This window comes from Homo sapiens, chromosome 1, assembly GCF_000001405.40.
Source record: "Homo sapiens chromosome 1, GRCh38.p14 Primary Assembly".
NCBI lineage: Eukaryota > Metazoa > Chordata > Mammalia > Primates > Hominidae > Homo > Homo sapiens.
The window spans coordinates 226,271,718-226,290,394 of record NC_000001.11 but is presented as its reverse complement, the minus strand read 5'-3'; the positions used below and the strand labels follow the sequence as shown (position 1 = coordinate 226,290,394).

Genomic DNA, 18,677 nt, shown 5'->3' with positions numbered 1-18,677 from the left:
CACTCCAGCCTGGGCAACAGAGCGAGACTCCATCTCAAAAAAAAGAAAAAAAAAAAAAAAAGAAATAGCCTCTCACTTGTTTTAGTTGGCATTTTATATAAGAGCAAAGTTGAGACACTTTTCATATGTTTAAAAATTATTTCTTTCCTTTTCTGTAAACTGTTTATGCCTTTTTCCCATTTTTCTATTGGATTGTGGGTCATTGTGTTACTAGTTTATAAGAATTTTGTATATATTAAAAATATTGGCCCTTTGGATGTTTATAATGGCTGTAATTTTTTTTAGAGTTTATAGTTTGTCTTTTGATTTGTTTCTGTATTTTTTAACATATGGGATTTTAAAATATTTTAAGGATCAAATGTAACTTTGTTACCTTTTAATGACTTCTTGAGTTTGTCATGCTCAGAAAGACCTTTTCTACACTAAAATTTATCATTTTAGAATTCTCTCATATTTCATTTTTTTGGTTTGAACCTTCAGTACATCTGGAATTTATTTTGCAGTAAGGGATGAAGTAAAATTGCAACCTAGCTTTCCCACCCCCCCCCACCCCCCCCCCCGGAGGACTACTTAGTTGTCCTAGTAACATTTATTGGGTAATCCATCTTTTTAAACATTGATTTAAAATGCTGCCTTCATCAAAGCTAAATTCGTATAAGTATTTGGGATTACTTTCAGGCTTTCTATCTCTACATCTAGCATATCTCTATATGTGCTAGTATCAAATTATTTTGGCTGGGCATGGCAGCTCATACCTGTAATCCTAGCTCTTTGGGAGGCTGAGGCAGGAAGATCGCTTGAGCCCAGGAGTTTGGGACCAACCTGGTAACATAGCGAGAGCCCGTCTCCACAAAAAATGCATGAATTAGCCCAGTGTGGTGGCACATGCCTGCAGTCCCAGCTACTTGGGAGGTTCAGGTGGGAGGATGGCTTGAGCCCAGGAGGTCAAGGCTGTAGTGAGCAATGTTTGCACCACTGCACTTCAGCCTAAGTGACAGAGAGAGAGACCCTGTCTCAAAAGAACAAACAAAACCAAAACACACACACACACACACACACAAAATTGGTTTAACATGACTTTATACTGTGTTTTAATGCCTGGTAAGATATTATCACATATTCTTTTTTTGAGATTTTTTTCCTTTTCTTTCTTTTTTTTTGACATGGAGTCTCACTCTGTCGCCCAGGCTGGAGTGCAGTGGTGTGATCTCTGCTCACTGCAACCTCCGCCTCCCAGGTTCAAGCTAGTCTTCTGCCTCAGCCTCCTGAGTAGCTGGCACTACAGGCACAGCCACCACGCCCGGCTAATTTTTGTATTTTTAGTAGAGATGGGGTTTCACTATATTGGCCTGGCTGTCTGGAGCTCCTGACCTTGTGATCCGCCCATCTCGGTCTCCCAAAGTGCTGGGATTACAGGCGTGAGCCACTGCGCCCAGCATAAGATTTTTTCCTAAATATTTTTGTGCATTTATTTTTCCATGTAGACTTTAGAATCAACTTGACTAGGAAAAAAAAATCCTGTTGGCATTTTGACTGGGATTGGACTAATATTATAATTTATGGGAAATGATATATATAGGTAACATTGAGACTACCTAAGAACTGATTGTAGTTCCACTTAGTTCATAGTATTTCACAGTAGACTTAATTTTTTTCCATATCAGTCTTGCATGTTTCGTAAGTATATTCCTACATATTTAATTTTTTTGTTTATGTCCATTTTTGTGCTGTTATAAACAGGATATAAACTCTTATGGCCTGTCCAGTTATTATTTACATATAGTGATTTTTTTGAATCATGGTTTTTGTATATCAACTTTGTATTTACCCATTTCATTAAATTTTCTTACTGTTTTTAATTGTTACAGTTGATTTTCTTGAGTTTTCACCTACAAGGAAATGGTAGTTTTATCTTCTTTCTAAATTTTATTCTTCTTACCTGATTGGCCAATTCCTTCAAAACAGTGTTATGAAATAGTGGTGGTAGTTGAAATCTTTGTCATACTAGGTTAGTGGTGGTAGTTGAAATATTTGTCGTTCTCATCGTCTTTTAATATTACGATACTGGTTTTTGGGTTGGAGTGGGGAGAAATGTTTTATTAGGTTAAAAAAGTATCCATCTAAGCTGGGCGCTGTGGCTCACACCAGTAATCCCAGCACTTTGGGAGGCTGAGGCAGGCAGATTACCTGAGGTCAGGAGTTTGAGACCAGCCTGGCCAACATGGTGAAACCCCATCTCTACTAAAAATACAAAAATTAGCTGGGTGTGGTGGCGTGCGCCTGTAGTCCCAGCTACTTGGGAGGTTGAGACAAGAGAGTAGCTTGAACCCGGGAGGCAGAGGTTGCAGTGAGCCGAGATTGTGCCACTGCATTCCAGCCTGGGCAACAGAGCAAGACTGTCAAAAAAAAAAAAGGCAATAATCAAAAATAATCGGAGTGTTTAAAACAGCAACAAAATTCCATGTTGAATATCAGTGAATCAGTGAACCTTTTTAAGTACTTAAACATAATTTACCTTTTGCAAATTTATTCAGGGTTATAAATGTTCATTTTTACTTAATGGAGCCATAAATTAATCTCTTTTTTTTATTGTATAGAAATTTACAGCAACAATGTCAACACCAGATAAGAAAGCTTCACAGAAGATTGGTTTTCGATTACGTAATCTGCTCAAGCTTCCTAAAGCACATAAATGGTGTATATACGAGTGGTTCTATTCAAATATAGATAAGTATGTATCATGGCTTATATTATGAATATTACTTGAATCAGAAATTTAAGTTTTTCAAGTGTTTTAAGCTACAACATTTTCTATAGGTCTACTTTGATCTTATTTTTCTCTAAATTCATTTTTCTGTTCCACATTCCAGTTGGATCTATTCTATTTGTCATAGTTTTCTTCCCTGTTATCCTTTTTGGGGAAGAAAACTGTACATTTTTGTGAAGAATTGATTACGGTATAATTTCTGTGTTAGAATTCTTAAAGACTATGGAGTAGAGATACCTTAAAACACCATTATTTGCAGTGAATGAGATTCATTTTATAATTGAGATGTTAAGTGCTGGTATAATCATAGAGAAACCATTACTAATGGTAAAAATGGCTTAAGATTTTTAAGAGGGTAGTCTTTCTAGTTTGGATGTGGTACTTAAGCACGCTAGGTATACACATATGCTTAAGTATGACGTAGTATGAGATTTGGCTGAAATACAATTATTCAACAATGGAATTTACTGAGGAAAAGTTCTTATTTATAATCCTTCCTCATATGCCAGTCATTGCTGCTTGCTCTGCTGGATATTTATATTTTCTTCCCTTCTCTGTTTTCTATACCAATTGCCTACTCTGGAGCTTGTGAATCTCATGAATGTTCATATTTGAGCCCAAGGCATTTATGTATCATTGCCAACACTGGTTCCTGGTTTCCCAGACTCATGAATAGAATTGTTTTATTTTTGTCCATAGGCTTAAGAGAGTTTTCAGGGTGTCTCAGTGTAATCTGAGTTCTTCTGGGATCCCCCAAGCTAATCTAACCCTCTGGAGTCCTCCAGTGTCCCAAGACTGGTTTAATTCCAAAGAGGACTCCTTGGTGATGGTATTCCTTTGGGACAAAGATACTTTGTAGCTAACTTGGTTTATCTTCACCTGATACAAGGCCAGGGCCACGATAGCCTCCCAAAGGATATACCTGTATAAGAGATTGAACAAAAATCAGTGTCTCTTGGAATCACAACACAAATAATATTTCCTGAGCAACTTTTACACGACATTAGATGTTTCACAAATGCCAAGGATTTAGTTTTAGCACTTTGAATTTGTGCCAGTTTATATATATATATGGGGTAGAAGTGAAAGTTTAGCATTTTGTGATTTTATGTGTTTTAAGAAAGTAACACATTGTATGTAACCATTAAAATACTATATCTGTTTTACAGACCACTTTTTGAAGGTGATAATGACTTCTGTGTATGTCTAAAGGAATCTTTTCCTAATTTGAAAACAAGAAAGTTAACAAGAGTAGAATGGGGAAAAATTCGGCGGCTTATGGGAAAACCACGGAGGTAAAAATAATGTTTTTGTTTTTGTTTAAAATAAAATCAAGCCAGTAGCAGTGCATGTACTTATAATCCCAGTTACTTGGAAGGCTAAGATGGGGTATTTGCTTAAGGCCAGGGGTTCAGGGCTGTAGTATGCTGTGATTACACCTGTGAATAGTCACTGCACTCTAGCCTGGGCAACACAGTGAGACCATTCCTCTAAAAAAGAATTAAAAAATAAAATCAATAAATAATAGTTGTTAGTATCATTAGTACATTGATTTTTTTAATCTTTAAAATGACTAGTACCAAAACATAACTTTTCAGAATAATTGATTATATGTTAAATATATCCTGTTAACCAACTTTAATGTAGGTGCTGTTTATACGTATGCATCTTATAATTAAATGCACAATTTCATTTTTGTTAGGATCACAGGTTTTCAACGTAATTTTTTAGTTTTACATTATCTATGTCCCTCTGTGTTCCAAAAAATATTTAAGAATGTCCTAAAAAGTATTTAAGGATGCTGTAAAGTTCTGTGTACATTTTTGTTATCTTTTGTGAAATCCTTTATAATCTCAGGAGCCTTCCCAGAAGTGCCTATTTTATTTTATATAAAAGTAGAAAACAAATTAATCTATCTAATATGTTACTTCCTGAGAATTGCTCTTCATGTGAAATGATTTTTTCTTTTCCAGTGTTATCCTGGTAACACATTGGAAAACCTTATATTACTTTTGAGTGAAAATTGGAAATATGTTAGAAGAATAATTAGATCATTAGTTCTCACATTATGTCTATCTGCCTGGTAAAAAGTATGTGCAAGACTTTTTCATTTTAAATGGTGGGAAAGTTCAAGGAAGGTCTGTAAATATAAAGTGATTTGGACAAATAGAAATGGAATTTAGATTTAATGATTTCTTTAGATGGTGATGAAATACAGAGAGAACTTTTAATTAAACTGTCATCAAGATGACCTTGATGATGATGTTTTTAATATTTCTTATAATAACAAAATTAAAATTTGATATGTTATTTAGTGTGTTTCATACTCATAATTTATGGCCTTTGGTAATTACAGTAGCCATTTGGTGACTTTTTGCTATCATTTTGCGTGTTTGAGCAAATTGAGTTACACTGTTTCTAATTATTGTCCATCAGAGTGGGATATTGGTCACTATTTACTGTTTTGTCATAGTTCTGTAGTTTGAGTGTCATAATATTTCTCGTTAATTGATCTTCTATTCTCTTACCATAACATTATTTAATCTTATAGTCCTTTAATTCATCAAGGTTAATTAATAGTTGAAGTCTTTTTTCAATAAAATGTGTAGTTTTTCTTTCTTTGAGGAAGTCCAGGTATAATACAAATTATTGATACAATAAACCTTAAAATATCTTAATTTTAAAAATCAATTGGTGAAACTCCATCCACTTGGAAGATAAAAAGGAAGAAACAAAGGAAGATAAACTACCAGGAAAGAACCTAAGAGGAAATATGCAAGATACATATGAAGAAACATTAAGACATACAGGATCTTGGAAAAGAAGACTCAACATCCTAAATTAGTCTATAAGTTAAAATCAGTCCCAATAAAAATATTAACAGGCCTTTTTTGTTGTTTTGTTGAGACAGAGTCTTGCTCTGTCACCCAGGCTGGAGTGCAGTGGCGTGATCTCGGCTTACTGCAGCCTCTGCCTTCTGGGTTCAAGTGATTCTCCTGCCTCAGCCTCCTGAGTAGCTGGGATTATAGGTGCTCGCCACCATGCCCAGCTAATTTTTGTATTTTTAGTAGAGACAAGGTTTTGCCATGTTGGCCAGGCTGGTTTTGAACTCCTGACCTCAGGTGATCCACCCACCTCAGCCTCCCAAAGTGCTAGGATTACAGGTGTGAGCCACTACACCTGGCCTCTTTTTTTAATTAGATGAGTTAATTCTAAAATTCACATATAAGAGGGGAGAAATCAAGCAGGAAAATTCTGAAAAAGCAAAGTAATGAAGAGAGATTCCACTTTAAAGAGCACTTTAAAATAGATTATAAAGTGATCATAATTAAAGCAGAGTGGTAGTGGTGCATAAATAGAAAAATGAATGAAAAAGAAAAGAAAATCCAGATACAGTCACAGATGTCTCTGGGAGTTTAGTATAATAGTTGCAATGGTTGACTCTCAAGTACATGGTGAAGAAGAGGGTGGATTGTTTGTTTAATGGAAACCGAGACTACTGTTTAGTAGTCTATAGAAAAAAACAAGTTGTTCTCATGCCTTACAACTAGGAAATATTTGAAAAGGATTGAAGATTTAAATATTTTTTTAAATGAAAGAATAAAACCACAAGAGGAAAACATAAGAGAGTTTTACTTAATCTTGAATTGGAAAAGGCCTTTCTCTCTCTCTCTCTTTTTTTTTTGAGATGGGAGTCTTGCTCTGTCACCCAGGCTGACGTGTGGTTGCACAATCTCGGCTCACTGCAACCTCTGCCTCCTAAGCTCCTACCTCAGCCTCCTGAGTAGAGTAGCTGGGACTACAGGCGCCCGCCACCATGCCTGGCTAACTTTTGTATTTTTAGTAGAGACGGGGTTTCACCATGTTGGTCAGACTGGTCTCAAACATCTGACCTCAGGCAATCCGCCTGCCCCGGCCTCCCAGAGTGCTGAGATTATGGGTATGAGCTACCATGCCTGGCCTGGAAAAGCAGGCTTCAAACCTAGGAGCCATAAAAGAAAACATTAATAAATTTGGCTATACAAAAATAAGAACGTTTTACATGGCCAAAAACAAAAGCCTGTAAACAGAGTTGAAAGATAGTACAGAAATATCCATCACATCTTATTACAGAGAGCTAATTCCCTACTATATAAAGAACTCCTATCAATAAGAAAATGTCAGGTAACGCATAATAAAAATGATTATAAGTAGATGATTCAGGCTGGGTGTGGTGGCTCACACCTGTAATCCCAGCACTTTGGGAGGCTCAGGCAGGAAGATCACTTGAGCTCAGGAACTCAAGACCAGCCTGGGCACCATGGTGAGACCCCATCTCCACCAAAAAAAAAAAAAAAAAAAAAAAAAAATTCAAAAATTACCCAGGCATGCTACTCAGGAGGCTGAGGTGGGAGTATCGCTTGAGCTCTGGATGTTGAGGCTGCAGTGAGCCATGCTCACGCCACTGCACTCAAGCCTGGGCAACAGAACAAGACCCTGCCTCAAAAATAAGTAAATAAAATAAACTTAGCCAGTTGGGTGACACATGACTGTGATCCTAGCTACTCACAAGACCAAGGTGGGAGGATCACTTGAACCCAGGACTTGAGACTGCAGTGAGCTGTGATTGCCCCCTTGCACTCCAGCGTGGGCAACAAAGGGAGACCCTGTCTGTTTAAAAGCAAGAACAACAACAGGTAATTGATAGGAAAGGAAAAAGAAATGGCTCTTGTAAACATGAAAAAAATTCCATTTTACTCATAATGGGAAATGCAAAATCAAAGTTTGCTGAGATACAGTTTTTTTTGTTTTTTGTTTTTTGTTTTTTGAGACAGAGTCTCACTCTGTTGCCCAGGCTGGGGTGCAGTGGCACGATCTTGGCTCACTGCAACCTCTGCCTCCCAGGTTCAAGTGATTCTCCTGCCTCAGGCTCCTGAGTAGCTGGGATTACAGGCGCCTGCCACCACGCCTGGCTAATTTTTGTATTTTTAGTAGAGACGGAGTTTCACCCTGTTGGCCAGGCTGGTCTTGAACTCCTGACCTCAGGTGATCTGCCCGCCTCGGCCTCCCAAAGTGCTGGGATCACAGGCGTGAGCCACCGCGCCCGGCCGAGATACTGCTTTTAACTATCAGATGGGCAGAGTTCATAAAGGTTTTAATGTGTTGGGTTAGTAATGGCATGGTTAGTCACTCATACATATTACTGGTGAGAGACTAATTTTATATAATCTCTGTGGAGGACAATTTGGTAATATCTATAAAATTTACAAATTTCCATTGCCTTGATGTAGCACTTTCAAGAATGTACAACACAGAGCTACTTGCACACAGATGAAATTACATGTACAAAGGTATTTATTGCAGTATTGTTTGTAGTAGTAAAAGATTGGCAACAGCCTAAAAGTCCATAAATGGGGGAATGATTATAGTATGGCACTCCATATAATAGAAAACCCTGAAACCATTTAACATAAAACAAAAACAGAAGATGGTTTCTATGTACTAATATGGAAATGATTGCTATGCTGTGTCAAGAAAAGAAAGCAAAATACACAACAGTGCATACTGTAGCTATTTGAGAAAAATAGAGGAACATATGCATTTTTTGATTGTATATGTCTAAGGTGTCAACAAAGGATCTGTAAGAAAAGTATAATGGCTGGGCGCCGGTGGTTAACACTATAATCCCAGCACTTTGGGAGGCCAGGGCAGGTGAATCATGAGGTCAGGAGTTCGAGAGCAGCCTGGCCAATATGGTGAAACCCCGTCTCTACTAAAAACACAAAAATTAGCTGGGCGTGGTGGCACATACCTGTAGTCCCAGCTACTCAGGGGGCTGAGGCAGGAGAATTGCTTGAGCCTGGGTAGTGGAGGTTGCAGTGAGCCGAGATCACACCACTGCACTCCAGCCTGGGCAACAGAGCGAGACTCCAAATCAAAAAAAAAAAAAGAAAAAGAAAAAAAAATTGTCAACTATAGGGAAATAGTATGGGTCCTGGGTTCTTATGTCAAGAAGACTTTTTTTGGTATATTTTTTAAATTGATATATAATAGTTGTACATATTTTGGGAGTACATGTGTACAGTGTGTAATGATCAAATCAGGGTAATTGGGATATCCATTACCTCAAACATTTTTCTTTGTGTTGGGAACATTATAATTTTTCTCTTCTAATTATGTGGAAATAGTCAATAAAAAACAAAGTAAAAACAAAAAATAGTCAATAAATTATTAACTATAATTTTCCTACCGTACTGTCAAATACTAGAACTTATTCCTTCTATCTCACTATATTTTTGTACCCCTTAGCTAATCTATCTCACTATATTTTTGTACCCCTTAGCTAACTTATCTTCATCCTCCCCTCCCTTTTCCCTTCCCAGCCTCTGGTAACCACCATTCTATTAATAATTTCTACCTCCATGAGATCCACATTTTTAGTTTCCATGTATGAATGAGAACATCTTATACTTGTTTTTCTGTGCCTGGCTTATTACACTTAGCATAATGACTTCCAATATCATCTATGTTGCTGCAAATGACAGGATTTCATTATATTTTGTGGCTGAATAAGATTCCATTGTGCATATATACCATATTTTAAAATTCCATTCATCTGTTGATGGACGCTTAGGGTGATTCCATATCTTGGCTATTGTAAATAGTGCTACAATAAACATGGGAGTACAGATATCTCTTTGATATACTGATTTCCTTTTTTTGAATATACACCTAACCATGGGATTGCTGGATTTTTAGTTTTTTGAGGAACCTCCATACTAATTTCCATAATGGTTATATACCAGGAAGATTTCTAAAAGATGTTGTTTACACCAGAAGCAAGTCTGGTTTTTTTTGTTTATGTGTTTGTTTTTGAGATGGAGTCTCGCTCTGTTGCCAGGCTGGAGTGCAGTGGTGTGATTTCGGCTCACTGCAATCTCTGTCTCCCAGGTTCAAGCGACTCTCCTGCCTCAGCCTCTCAAGTAGCTGGGATTACAGGCACACACTGCCACGCCTAGCTAATTTTTGTGTTTTTGGTAGAGATGGGTTTCACCATATTGGCCAGGATGGTCTCGATCTCCTGACCTCATGATCCGCCCACCTCGGCCTCCCAAAGTGCTGGGATTACAGGTGTGAGCCACTGCGCCCGGCCGCAAGTCTGTTTTTATAGTACTACTTAGCTTACTAGTAACTCATTATCCTTTGCTTTATCTTCTCATATTCTTCCCATATATACTGCTTGAATCAATATTCAACAAGTTCAGAAATCATACAAAAAAATCATTATTATCAGCTAAGCTCTTTCTGTGTATTTCCAGTCCTTATTCATCATTGCTTACAACAATTCACTTTATACAGTGCTGGTCTTTATATCCTTTTTTCTCATTGTTTTTATTTAGTTTTTGAGACAAATGACAATAGAGCTCATAATGTACCTTTGAAAGTGAAAGCCATAACATGGCATGAAAGTGATGTTTAAATACTTTGCTTCATCCTGGGATTTGAAAACGGAAGGAAGATAGGCTCTAGAAATAAGAGGGAATTCAGCATTTATACTTTTAAGGCAAAAATTATGATTAAAAGTTTACATAGTAGGAAGTCTCATCTTTAACTGCTATATTGGTGTGTTTACTGGGTCACAGAGAAAATATCATGTTCTTTTGGGTAGAATATTGAAATGGAACTTGGTCCCTATGAGATCTAGATTCCAGGCACAATTTCATCAAAGGATGGTGAAAAAATTATTTTGCTTTGTAGGAAGGAATAACCTGCAAAATCTTTGAGTCTTGGAAGGTCCTGTTTTTTAAAAAATGAAAGGTAATTTACTGTGAAAAGAAACAGTTCCTTTTTCTTTCCTTCCTTTTTTTTTTTTTTTTTTCAGACTGGGTCTTGCTCTGTTGCCCAGGCTGGAGTGGTGCAATCTCGGCTCACTACAACTTCTGTCTCCCAGGCTCAAACAATCCTCCCGCCTCAGCCTCCCGACTAGCTGGGACTACAGGCTCATTCCGCCACACCCAGCTTTTTTTTTTTTTTTTTTTTGTATTTTTGGCAGAAATGAGGTTTCACCATGTTGCCCAGGCTGGTCTCAAACTCCTGAGCTCAGGCAGTCCATCCGCCTCAGCCTCCCAAAGTGCTGAGATTACAAGTATGAGCCACTTTGCCCAGCTCTTTTTTTTGGGTGGGTGGGGAACAGTCTCCCTCTGTTGTGCAGGCTGGAGTGCAGTGGTACAATCACAGCTTAGCTCATTGCAGCCTCAACTTCCTGGGCTCAAATGATCCTCCGGCCTCAGCCTCCCAAGTAGCTGGATGCACACCATTATGCCTAGCTAATTTTTTTATTTTTAGCAGAAACAAAGTCTCACTATGTTGCCCAGGCTGGTCTCAGACTCCTGGGCTCAAGCAATTCTTCCACCTCGGACTACAAAGTGCCAGGATTAAAACATGAGCCACCATGCTTGGCCAAAAAGAAACAATTTTTTTTTCCCCCAAGACGGAGTCTCGCTCTGTTGCCCAGGCTGGAGCGCAGTGGCACGATCTTGGCTCACTGCAAGCTCAGCCTCCCGGGTTCACGCCATTCTCCTGCCTCAGCCTCCCAAGTACCAGGGACTACAGGCACCCGCCGCCATGCCCTGCTAATTTTTTGTGGTTTTTTTGTTTGTTTGTTTGTTTTTTGGTTTTTTTTTTTTTTTTAGTAGAGACGGGGTTTCACCATGTTAGCCAGGATGGTCTGGATTTCCTGACCTCGATATCTACCCGCCTCGGCCTCCCAAAGTGCTGGGATTACAGGCGTGAGCCACCGCGCCCGGCCTTTCTTTTTTTTTTTTGAGACGGAGTTTTACTCTGTCACCCAGGCTGGAGTGAAGTGGCTCAATCTTGGCCCACTGCAGCCTCTGCCCTCTGGGTTCAAGCGATTCCCCTGCCTCAGCCTCCTGAGTAGCTGGGATTATAGGCGCCTGCCACCACGCCTGTCTAATTTTTGCATTTTTAGTACAGACGGGATTTTGCCATGTTGGCCAGGTTAGTCTCGAACTCCTGACCTCAGGTCATCCACCCGCCGTGGCCTCCCATACTGCTAGGATTACAGGCATGAGCCACCACGCCCGGCCAGAAACAATCTAAGAACCTATTTTTGAATACAGTATACTTAATGAGAAGAAAAAAAGGAGTGGTGAGATGAATAGATTTTAAGGTTTTTTTGTTTTTGTTTTTGTTTTTTTTAAGATGGAGTCTCACTCTTGTCGCCCAGGCTGGAGTGCAGTGGCGCAATCTCAGCTCACTGCAACCTCCGCCTCCCAGATTCAAGCGATTCTCCTGCCTCAGCCCCCTGAGTAGCTGGGATTACAGGCGCCTGCCACCACGCCTGGCTAATTTTTGTAGTTTTAGTAGAGACGTGGTTTGGCCATGTTGGCCAGGCTGGTCTCTAACTCCTGACCTCAATTGATCTGTCCGCCTCAGCCTCCCAAAGTGCTGGGATAACAGGCGTGAGCCACCACGTCCGGCTGATTTTAAGTTTTTAATCTCAGCACTTGAGTCCAGGAGGTGGAGCCCAGAATCGCTTGAGCCGGAGATGGAGGTTGCAGTGAGCCAAGATTGTGCCACTGCACTCCAGCCTGGATGACAGAGCCAGACTCTATCTCAAAAAAAGAAAAAAAAAAGATTTTAAGTTTTTATATGGGGTAGTTATCAGTTTGTATGTTTTTTATAATTTATTCTAGATGTTCTTCTGCATTTTTTGAGGAAGAGAGATCAGCATTAAAACAGAAACGGCAGAAAATAAGGCTCTTACAACAAAGGAAAGTTGCAGATGTTTCACAATTCAAAGATCTCCCAGATGAAATTCCTTTGCCTCTGGTTATTGGAACGAAAGTTACAGGTAAGTGAAAACAAGCTAATTACTCTTTTGACTTGTAATTTTTAATCAAGGTAATCTTTTTTGTTTCTTTGGTTCTTATTTTATTTCATTTTTAATTACCAAGAAATATTTACAATAGACATCGTTAACCCTCACCCTATCCCTATCCCTCAACTCTCTCTGAGCCTGGTTGATGCTCAGGGATGGAGTAGGGGTTCTGTAGTACACATCACTTGATATTTTTTTTCCTTAGTGACTTTGATTTTTCACTAGAATGTGTTTACACGTACACATGGGACAAAATTCTGAAGGTGTAAATAACCCAGATAATCTCTATTCGAGAAATGGCTTTTAAATTTAGAAAGCTTAAACTGTAGCTCTGTGCAATTTACTATAGAAGTTACTCTTTCTTCATGCATGAAATCTATTTTTTAAAGTAATTGGGAAAAAGTGTATTGGTTCAAAGTAACATCTACTACAATATAAACTAAAGCCAACTGCTACAAAGATGAAATTTAATAATCTATTGGAGTAAGTATAGCTATGTATTATTTTAAAGTTTTTTTTTTTTTTTTTTTTCTTTTTGAGACTGAGTCTCCCTCTGTCACCTAGGCTGGAGTGCACCTAGGCTGGATCTTGGCTCACTGTGGCCTCGACCTCCCGGGCTCAAGCAATCCTCCTGCCTCAGTTTCCCAAAGTGCGGGATTACAGGCATGAATCACCACACCTGGCCGTAAATTTTTTTTATTTTTAATTATTCTATATTTTCCTTCTACATTGTTTGTTTTCCTTTCCTAACTAGCCTTGTCTGGTTAGTTCACAAATACCATTGTTCTCGTGGACTTTGGGTCTAGAAATAGTCCATTTCTAATGATTGAATAAAACTAAATTATTCACTAGTCTGCTCAACATTTTATAGGGGTGTAAATTTTGTCCGTTTTATAGATGTGATTCTGTGTACTCATGGAGAGAAAGTGCAAAATCTCAGGTTTAAGTTAATCCTTAATTACTTGGTGAAGGCAAATTACAATATATGTAATACAAGAAATAAGGAGTTAAGTGGATAGAATAGGCTAGTAATTGTACTGAGTAATTGTACTTCAACCATTGAAAAATGGTTGGAGTAATTCGAGAATAGTTTTTGGAGGGAAGGGAACCTGGAGTTACATATTTATATCATTTTTCCTGGCTATAAAAGTGGTACTTGTTTCCATTATATTGTAAAAACGATTAAGATGAAAGGTAGAAAATAGAGAAGAGACTGAATCATGCATATGAAATGCAAACACAGTTTATCTAGGAGAGACTAGATTTGGTAATAAATGAGTGTATATTGACAACTCACTGTGTAATCAACAGATTATAGATGATATGATCTCTGTCTTAAAACTAGTCTGGAAGTAGAGGTGGAAATGGGATGAGATGGGTAGACAGCATATTTGAAAAATGTTTAGTTGTAAAAACTCCATATAAATAACTACAGCAATAAAGTCTAGTATAAGTACTAATGCTGACATACTGATTTATGCCAGAGAAATGCTGACGTGAAGAGTGACTCTCAGACTCATTAGGAAATCCTTAGAAATTCATTGTTTTAGAATTTTAAGAACTGGTGATATTATTTGACAAGACTGAAAATCTTAGGTAGTGTTTTTATGTAAGTACTCTTGTTACAGTGGAGAATAGGTTAGACAGGCTATAGCAAAATGTGAGAAAATTACTAGAGCTGTTTTGTGTGTTGTGTTTTTTATTTTTGTTTTTGTTTTTTGAGACAAAGTCTTGCTCTGTTGCCCAGGCTGGAGTGCAGTGGTGTGATCTCGGCTCACTACAACCTCCACCTCCAGGGTTCAAGCAATTCTCCTGCCTCAGCTTCCTGAGTAACTGGGATTACCGGCACCCGCCACCACGCCTGGCTAATTTTTGTAATTTTTTTAGTAGAGATGAGATTCCACCAAGTTGGCCAGGCTGGTTGGTCTCAAACTCCCAACCTCAAGTGATCTTCTGTCCACCTCGGCCTCCCAAAGTGTTGGGATTACAGGCGTGAGCCGCTGCACCCAGCCTAGAGCTATTTTTTCTTTTTTTCTTTTTTTTTTTTTTTTTTTCTGAGACGGAGTCTTGCTCTGTTGCCAGGCTGGAGTGCAGTGCCTCAGTCTCGGCTCACTGCAGCCTCTGCCTCCCAGGTTCAAGCGATTCTCCTGCATCAGCCTCCCGAGTAGCTGGGACTGCAGGTGCACGCCACCACACCCGACATATTTTGTATTTTTAGTAGAGACGGGGTTTCACCATATTGGTCAGGCTGGTCTCGAACTCCTGACCTCATAATCCACCCGCCTCGGCCTCCCAAAGTGCTGGGATTACAGGTGTGAGCCACCGCACCCAGCCTAGCCTAGAGCTTTTTTAAAGCAATGTTTTACATTTTCTCTTTGGGCTAGTGCAGGGGTCAGCAAACTTACGGCCTATAGGCCAAATCTAGGCTGCCACCTATTTATGCATAGTTTGTGAGCTAAGAATACTTTTTATATTTGTAAGTGGTTGAAAAAAATCAAAAGAATAATGATATGTTGTGACTTATGGAAATTATATCAAGTTCACAGGGCCTCCTTAAGGAGTAAACATGCTCTAAATAAGTTCATAACTGAAACAGACCAGCCCCTACAAAATATAAAAGCAAGTGTGATGGGATCGAAAAGATCTGCCAGTAATTTTTTTTGTCTACAAGAAAAAAATTCAACACCCTGTGTAGCATACAATAAAAAAATTGCTGTACTTGTGGGGAAAAAAAGACTATTCCATAAGTCAATAAAAAAGCCATCAATAGAGATAGACTCTGAGATGACTCAGATGTTGGGATTAGCAGACAGTGACTTCAAAATAGCTATCATAAGACATGTTCGTGAACTTAAATGTAAATATAAATATAATGAACAGAGAAAATCTGAGTGAATAAATGGACATTTTTTCAGATAAAGAAAATGAATTTAGAACTGAAAAGTATAATATTTGAAAAGAAAAACTTCTGAATGAACTTAAAAGCAAATTGGAAACACTAAAAGACTGGGTCGGTGAACTTGAGAATGTTATCAGTAGAAATTATCCAAGTATGAAAACAGGTAGGAAAAAAATGAAAAAAAAAAATAGACCCTCAGATCCCTCTGAGACAATATTAAGCAAGATAACATATGTGTAATTGTAGTCCCCGTAAAAACAGGAGAGAGGGGACATTATTTTATGTGCCGATGCACATAAAAAATATTAGATGAAACAAAAGCTGAAATTTTTCCAAAAATATAGATCTAAGATACTCTGAACCCCAAGCAGGATACCCACATATACACAAAACCCATCATTAGACACAATACAGAAAATCTTCAGAGAAACTCTTAAAAGCAGTCACAGAAAAACAGCATATTATGTAAGAGGAGCACTGATATGGATGGCAGCCAACTTCATATCAGAAAAAATGCTAGAAGTAATGCCAAAAAAGTTCTTCAGACTGAAAGGAACTTTTTTACATTACATGATATCTTATGTAAACTGGAATCTACGGAAAGGACCATAGAGCACCAGAAATGAATAAATGAATAAAATGAAATTATTGTGTTGCCAAGTTCTTAAATTTTATGTAAGAACACACAGTATTAATTTAGTAGAAAGTAATGTTAAGGCCAGGCGTAGTGGGTCATGCCTGTAATCCCAGCATTTTGGGAGGCCAAGGCAAGTGGATCACTTGAGGCCAGGAGTTGCAGCCTGACCAACATGGTGAAACCCTGTCTCTACTAAAAATACAAAAATTAGCTGGGAATAGTGATGTACGCCTGTAATCCTAGCTACTTGGGAGGCTGAGGCATGAGAATCACTTGAACCCAGGAGGCGGAGGTTGCAGTGAGCCGAGATTGCGCCACTGCACTCCAGCCTGGGTGACAGAGTGAGACTCCGTCTCAAAGAAAAAAAAAAAAAAAAAGTAATGTTGAGAGGGAGCATTGTAGTTCCTAGCCCATTGTGGCTCAAAAACTTTAGTATGCATCAGAATCACCTGGAGGGCTTGATAAAACATATTGCTGGGCTCTACCTCTGAGTTTCTGATTCAGAAGGTCTGGGATAGGGCCTGGGAATTTGCATGTCTGACAAGTTTCAAAGTAATGCTGCTGGTTTGGGAACTGCCTTTTTAAAAAAAAGAAGAAGAAGAAAACAAATGCAAAGAGGTATAGTTAAAAAGTCAAAAGAGAATTTGATTTTTTAAATATTGAATTTGGCCAGGTACAGTGGCTCATGCCTATCATCCCAGCACTTTGGGAGGCTGAGGCAAGCCACTCACCTGAGCCCAGGAGTTTGAGACCAGCCTGGCAACATGGTGAAACACTGTTTCTACAAAAAATACAAAAATTGGTCAGGTGTGTTGTGCTCCTGTAGTTCCAGTTCCTTGGAAGGCTGAGATGGGAGGATTACCTTAGTCTCAACTGCAGTGAGCAGTGATTATACCACAGCACTCCAGCCTGGACAGAGTGAGACCTTGTCTCAAAAAAAAAAAAAAAAAAAAAATTACCTAATTAAAAAAAAAAGATGGCAGGAAAGAAGGGACAGGGAACAACAAAAAACCCAAATGGGATAAATAGAAAATAGCAAGGTGGTAGACTTAAGTCTGGCCATCCTATTGTTGTATTAAATGCCAATGAACTATAAACACTTCTGCCAAGCACACTGGCTCACACCTCTAATCCCAGCACTTTGGGGGAGGCCAAGGCACGAGGATCACTTAAGCACAGGAGTTTGAGACTAGCCTGGGCTACATAGTGTGTTGGGGTGATCAGACCCAACACCAGGTCGTGGGGGTGATGATGTCCAGCTGAATCAAAGGATTGAGAAAAAGACAGTTTGAGAAAGAAAGTGGGACCAGGGACCCATCGCGATTGTGGAGGCTGTGAAGGCCCCAAGCTCTGGGACCCTACACTGTTTATTGGTAATCCAACAAAGAAACAGGTGGTGAGAATGTGGGGGTCAAAAAGGCAGGCACATGATCTACAGCTGTGACGGCTTAGCCTTTATATAGAACATGTTCTGCTACTTGAGATAATGGGAATACAATCAATCTAGGAGCCTAGGAGGGCTAGAAGCAAGGAGCCAGCAAGTCTAGACACATTCCAGGGGACATTATGTCAGACATGCAAGCCCTGCCTCAGCTTTTTTCCTAACACTCAGCTTTTTCCCACCATAGTGAGACCCTGTCTCTACAAACATTAAAAAAAAAAAAAAAAAAAAGGTCAAGCATGGTAGTGGGCACCTGTAGTCCCAGCTACTCAGGACGCTGAGACGATCGCTTGAGCACAGGAGTTCAAGGCTACAGTGAGCTATGATCATGCCACTGCACTCCAGTTTGGGTGACACAGCTAGACTCTGTCTCAAAAAAAAAAAAAAAAGCCACTTCAATTAAAAAGTAATGATTGGCTGGGCATGGTGGCTCATGCCTGTAATCCCAGCACTTTGGCAGGCCGAGGCAGGCAGATCACTTGAGGTCAGGAGTTCAAGACCAGCCTGGCCAACATGGTGAAACCCCGTCTCCACTAAAAACACAAAACTAGCCAGGCATGGTGGCACGTGCCTGTAATCCCAGCTACTCAGGAGGCTGAGGCAGGAGAATCACTTGAACCTGGGAGGTAGAAGTTGCAGCGAGCCAAGATCTCACCCACTGTACTCTGCACTCTAGTCTGTGCAACAGTGAGACTCTGTCTCAAAAAAAAAAAAAAAAAGTTAAGATAATGAGAACGGATTAAAAAAAAGTAAGACTCATCTATATGCTGTCTTCAAGAGTTATACTTAAATATAAAATCATAGACAGGTTGAAAGCAAAAAGATGAAAAAGATATGCAGTGCAAATAGTAACTGTAAGAAAGCTAAAGTGGCTATTTTAACATCAGAGAAAAACAGGCATCAAGACAGTATTGTCAGAAGTATTTCATAATGATAAAAATGGCCAGTTCAGAAAGATATACCAATCCTAATATTATGTATGTATATTACTATATACCTAACAATAAAGCTTCAAAATACTTGAAAGCAACAGTTGAGATAACTAAAGAAAGA

General features: G+C 38.9%; 1 protein-coding gene across 16 annotated transcripts in view; it reads left to right on the top strand.

The window, feature by feature from the left end:
* Nucleotides 1-18,677, top strand: part of LIN9 (lin-9 DREAM MuvB core complex component) — a 78,619-nt gene that overhangs the window by 19,373 nt on the left and 40,569 nt on the right. For all 16 annotated transcript variants that reach the window (XM_017001084.2, XM_047418546.1, XM_024446565.2 and 13 more), the window contains 3 exons: nt 2,598-2,731; nt 3,937-4,062; nt 12,463-12,620. In XM_017001084.2, the coding sequence (XP_016856573.2) occupies nt 2,598-2,731; nt 3,937-4,062; nt 12,463-12,620 (418 nt within the window). The remainder of the gene's footprint in view (nt 1-2,597; nt 2,732-3,936; nt 4,063-12,462; nt 12,621-18,677) is intronic.